Source organism: Homo sapiens, chromosome X, assembly GCF_000001405.40.
Source record: "Homo sapiens chromosome X, GRCh38.p14 Primary Assembly".
Lineage (NCBI taxonomy): Eukaryota > Metazoa > Chordata > Mammalia > Primates > Hominidae > Homo > Homo sapiens.
In genome coordinates, this window is record NC_000023.11 from 119,694,178 (window position 1) to 119,700,177 (window position 6,000).

Genomic DNA, 6,000 nt, shown 5'->3' on the forward strand with positions numbered 1-6,000 from the left:
GGCGCAGAGGAGAGAACTTCCGAAGGCAGGGGTGCGCCCGCCCGCCCTCCTTATCCCCGTGGCCCACCTCCGCGGGTCCTCTCTCGTGGGCACCTCTCCACTTCTCCGGCCTTGGCGCCCTCCCCTCTCTCTTGGGACTGGCCTCTTGCTAGCTCCCTGTCACTGGAGCACGCTGGCAGATTTGGCATGCCCGAGGCCCCAGCGGGAGGGACAGTACATTCCACTCCTCAAAAGGGCAGGTTCCCTGGTGTGGGAGAGAGACCTGGGCCCGCCAGAGGGACCCCAGATGGGGGAGGGGATGACAAGGCTATGGAGGAAACCCGGGCCCAAGAGGGGGCCCCAATGGAGCATGGAAGATGACCCCGTAAAGGCCCAAGGCTGGAGCAGCTGAGGAGGAGGCAGGAGAGAGGGAAAAAGAAAAGAAGGAACCAGGGAGAGAGAGGAAGAAGGGACTCGATCCAGAGGCCCTGGTCTCGGAGAAGTCAGGGAAGACAAGAAAATGGAGTAGCCAAAGAAGAGCATGCCTGGCACTTGGTTCCACCTGCTGGATGGAGCTTCTCACACTCTCTCGGGAAGCCCTTTATGTATGTACCCTGTGCGCCTGGAGAACAAGGACTCAGCAAACGCATCCCAGGGCCGAGTGCAGGGCCTCGCAGTCAGGAGGCACTCTATTAAGCTGAGGGCAGAGAACTTGGATGCGTGCGAGGGGGGCGGGGAGAAGAAAGAAGAGACACAGTGAGGGAATAGCAGTAAGGACAGTCATGAAGAGCCAAGTATTCAGGGAGCGCCACTGTGCGCCTTCATTGTGCTGGAGACCCAGGAGCGGCCTAAAGAGAAGAGCCTGGCAAAATCAGGGATCAGCGCAGAGGAGCTCCGCGAGACAGAAGGCGCAGGCCATAGGGCGGATGGCGGTGGCAAGGAAGAGGGGCAGCTGGAGTCTTTCAGACTCTCTGGAGCTTTGGGGCAGGGCCTGAGCCCTGGACTGGGTTGGCAGTGACACGGGGGACCAGTGCTATATCTGAGGAACCACGGTGAGGCTTGGGCCCCAACCGCATGGGGGCGGGGAGTCAGAGGTGACTGGCGGCTTCCAGGCTGGGTGTCTGGGACAGGGCTCTTCCCTGGCAAAGGCTAGGGCGTGGTGGACTGAAAGGCCCCGAGGTCACTAGCCCCGATCTGGACTTGGGGTTTGGGTGGTGGTGGGACAAAAGGGGAGAATTTGGAAGCCAGAGCAGAAAGCTGCTGCCGGAACGGGAGGGGACTGGAGGGCTGCGGGTCTCCCGGGAGAATCCCCCACGCACTGCCCCGCCCGCCTTAGCACTCCTCGCGGACTGAAGCTCCGTACTTACCGGCCCAGCGCTGGGGGCACCTGAGCACGGAATCCTTGGTGTCTCATCCATATGCCCCATTCGGCCCTCCTGTCCCTAGAGACTACCAGAACCTCACTGCGTCCTCCTCCTCCAAAACGCTGAACCTCGAAGACCTGAACTAAGTGCTTAATTCAAGTCTCCTGGGACCCTTTGGTTCCTCCAATACCTGCCCACCTGCGGCTACAAGTCCCTCCTGGGGCCTGGGCCTCCAGCCTCCTTCGGTGGGGTGTGGGTCAGTGTGTGTGTTGGTCTTGATGTGTGAGTAGATGTGTCGGTGTGTTCGTGTGTATTGTCAGTGTGTGCTAGCTGTGTGTCTGTATATCTGTGTGTCAATGTGTGTGTTGGCATGTGTTGGTGTGTCAGTGTATTTCAATGCATGGTGAGTGTATGTGTGTCAATATGGAGAGAGGTGTTAGCTCACTAGCTTTACATACCTTATCTCACTCAGTGCAGTGGGCCGACGACTGAGACGTGTGAATCAGAACATTCATTTCAATAAAGAGGTTTGGAAACTCTCTGGGATCATGCCTTTCTTTTTTTTTCCTTTTTTATTTTTTTTTTGAGACGGAGTGCTCTGTCATCCAGGCTGCAGTGCAGTGGCGTGATCTCTACTCACTGCAACCTCTGCCTCTTGGGTTCAAGCAATTCTCTGCTGCAGCTGGGACTATAAGCGCCCACCACCACGCCCAGCTATTTTTTTTTTTTTTTTTTTTTTGTATTTGCAGTAGAGACAGGGTTTCACCATCTTGGCTAGGCTGGTCTTGAACTCCTGACCTCGTGATCCACCTGCCTCGGCCTTGCAAAGTGCTGGGATTATAGGTGTGAGCCACCGCACCCGGCCTGAAATCATGCCTTTCAGTCTTTGTCCCGGGTCACCTTCCCAAGAACAGGGGAGATGGAAGGGCTGAGGAGGCAAGAGGGCTCATGAGTGGTCAGTTCGTGAGTTTTCTTCCTTGAATGTCTGTCCTCGTTGATGAGTGAAGCCAAAAGATTCCCCTTTATGAAGAGTCATTTGGGACTCCCGGGCGCTTCCATGAACATGTATGTGCTCATGTTTGATGTTTCCTTGTGGGGTCCCTTGGGCCCAGCATGGTGTCTGGCAGGTGTTCAATCAATGTTTGTTGAGTAAAGGAATGAACAGAAGCATGTAAATGAGGTGGCTTCAGTATTTCCATGTCCTTAAAGAAGCTGCAACAAACAGAGACTTCCCAGGGGCAAGCAGGTGGCTGTCATTAGCATGCCAATGTTTGTGGAGCCAGACTCTACTGCCTGGGAGCAGAAATGGCTACCCCTGCTAGATAAGAGTGGGCCCTAATTGGAGCCCAGCTTTCCACAGGTCACTGCTGGAGTTGGGGGTGCTAATACTGGATAGAGGAGCAGCAAGCAACTCAGGGGCAGGGAGGGAGAAGAGGGCACTGAAATGGAGCTAAGAGGTCAGGAAAGGGCTTTGTCCTGAAACTGTGGCTTTGTGATAGGAGAACGAGAAAGATGGTAGAGTCAGTCTCAAGTGGAGAAGCCCTGAGAACCATCTGAAAAATAAGATCAGAAAGTTGGAGGAGGGGCCGGGCGTGGCGGCTCATGCCTGTAATCCCAACATTTTGGGAGGCTGAGGCAGGTGGATCACTTGAGGTCAGGAGTTCGAGACCAGCCTAGCCAACATGGTGAAACCCCCGTCTCTACTAAAAATACAAAAATTAGCCGGGTGTGGTGGCGCATGCCTGTAGTCCCACCTACTTGAGGCAGGAGAATTGCTTGAACCTGGGAGGTGAAGGTTGCAGTGAGCCGAGATTGTGCCACTGTACTCCAGCCTGGGTGACAGTGCGAGACTCCATCAAAAAAAAGAAAGGGAGGGGGAGAGAGAGAGAGAAAAGAAAAGAAAAGAAAAGAAAGAGAAGAAAGTTGGAGGAGGAAGACAAGGTGAAGCAGGGAAAATGATCCGGGATTCACCAAATCCAGACAGTGCCAATTAAATCAGAAACTCTGTGAAGGGGCTGAGTCAAAATGAACTAAAGATCCCTTTCCTCAATTCTGCATTATCACCTGCTGCCCCTGGTTTTGCTTTAGTTTCTTTCCAGTGTTTCTTAAAATGTGGCCTTTGAAGCATCAGCAGCATATGGGAAGTTATAAAAAATGCAAATTATTGGGCCCCACCCGAGACCTACTGAATCAGAACTTCTAGGATGGGACCCAGGAATCTGTATTTTAACAAGTGCTCCAGTGGATTCTGATTTATGCTGAAGTTTGAAGACCACTGGTTTATCTTGAAAATCTAGCCCTGATGGGTTGGGATACAGGACTGGTAAGGTTTGGTAGGATATTGAAGGAGAAGTTTGAAGGCCGGGCCATTGCCAATAATTGTAGATCTGTTGGATTTCTATGGTGGGAGGAGTGAGGGTATGGGAAAGGGGGTGCCAAAAAAGTAATAGAAGGGAACCCAGCAGGAGCTAGCTCACTAGAAGAGTTAGAAAGATAAACTTTGCCTCCCGATATGGTTAGGCTTTGTGTCCCCACCCAAATCTCATCTTGAATTGTAATCCCCATAATCCCTTTGTGTCAAGGGAGAGACCAGGTGGAGGTAGGGAAAGACCAGGTGGAGATAATTGAATCACGAGGTGGTTTCCCCCATGCTGTTATCATGATAGTGAGTGAGTTCTCACGAGATCTGATGGGTTTGTTTTTTTTTTGAGATGGAGCCTCAACCTGTCACCCAGGGTGGATTGCAGTGGCACAATCTTGGCTCACTGCAACCTCCGCCTCCAGGGTTCAAGCGATTCTCATGCTTCAGCCTCCCGAGTAGCTGGGATTACAGACGAGCGTCACCACGCCCAGCTAATTTTTGTATTTTTAGTAGAAAGAGTGTTTCACCATGTTGACCAGCCTGGTCTCGAACTCCTGACCTCAAGTGATCCGCCTACCTCAGCTTCCCAAAGTGCTGGGATTATAGGTGTAAGCCACTGTGCTTAGCCAGACCTCATGGTTTTATAAGGGACTCTTCCCCCTTCGCCTGGCCCTTCTCCTTCCTGATGCCTTGTAAAGAAGGTGCCTTGCTTCCCATTCACTTTTGGCCATGATTGTAAGTTTCCTGAGGCTTCCCCGGCCATGCTGAACTGCATTAAACCTCTTTAAATTACCCAGTCTCAGGCAGTTCTTTATAGCAGTATGAAAATGACTAATACACCTTCTTTGCAATTTTCATTCATTCCACAAATACTCACTAAATCTCAACTGCCAATTGCTAAGTGCCAGAGGACTCAAGAAAGAATAGGTGACAAGAACTCCTACCTTCACCTTAAGACACTCCCAGGACAGTTGCCAGATAGCTCTACAAACAACCAGTAATGTGATAAGTGATATAATTGGTCAGGAGCAACACCCTGGGGAGGAAGACACCCAGAGAGGTGAGGGAAGGTATCTCAAAGAAGAGCCATTTGGATTGAATCTTTAAGAATGAGTGGTGGTTTATCTGGCAGTCAAGAGGGGGCAGCAGAGAGAATAGCATGAGTAAAACCAGAAAGAAAGGGCAGAGAGCATTTCAGGAATTTTAACTCTTGGCCAGAGGGAGTGGTAGGAAGAGGGGACAGTGGCTATAAATGAGACTGGAAGATAAGATGGGGCTGGATCTGGAAGGATCAGGTTGGTCATACCAAGTTGCTTACACTTTTTGCTCCAGAATAGGGGTTCTCAAGCTCTGCTCTCCAGACAACGCCTGGAACTACGCCCAATGTAAATGGGATGCTCACAGTGCAAAAAAAAAAAAAAAAAAAAAAATCAGTTAATGGGTAGAAATTTCTCTATTTGAACTTTTTTTAACCATAAATTTTCCTAAATCTTTGACAGATGCTCCTGCTTATCTGCTAGCAAGTAACAAAAATGAATGAACAACTTGCCAACGAATATAAAACAGACAAACGCAGTACTAATCATGCTTAATTCAACAGTTTATTTTTTCACGGACATCTGTACTTGTGGCTATGATTTTATATTGCACACACATAATGTGGACATATTTTTAGCTAGCAGAAGTGTTCTTTTGAAAAGTGTTTTATTTCATATGGCATGATTTAATATATGAATTATTTCATTACATTCTGGAAAGAGCACCACCACATCCAGATGCTATGCCACCTGAACCAGTTGGAGAAACTATCCCTTAAATAGTGAGGAGTCACTGAAGAGTTTTGAGCAGGAGAGTGACTTGAACATATTTGCAATTTTTTTTTTTCTTGAGATGGAGTCTTGCTCTCTCACCCAGGCTGCAGTGCAGTTGCACGATCTCTACTCATTGCAACTTCTGCCTCCTGGGTTCAAGCAATTCTCCTGCCTCAGCCTCCCGAGTAGCTGGGACTACAGGCTTGTGCCATCAGGTCCAGCTAATTTTTGTATTTTTAGTAGAGATGGGGTTTCACCAAGTTGGTCAGGCTGGTCTCGAACTTCTGACCTCAGGTGATCCACCCGCCTTGGCCTCCCAAAGTGTTGGGATTACAGGTGTGAGCCACCATGCCTAGCCCATATTTGCAATTTTGAAAGGTCACTCTCTCTCCAGCTTGGGAAAAAGATTGGAACAGAAGGCGATTAAAGCAGTTAGGGGCCAGGTGCAGTGGCTCATGCCTATAATCCCAGCACTTTGGGAGGC

The 6,000-nt window shown here is 50.1% G+C and overlaps 1 annotated feature.

Annotated features, from left to right (window-relative positions):
* Positions 2,553–2,612: an enhancer, noted in NCBI's record as "active region_29893". NCBI's record gives its function as "activates an Ori minimal core promoter by ATAC-STARR-seq in GM12878 lymphoblastoid cells {active_cell/tissue: GM12878}" and the evidence as "EXISTENCE:reporter gene assay evidence [ECO:0000049][PMID:35858748]".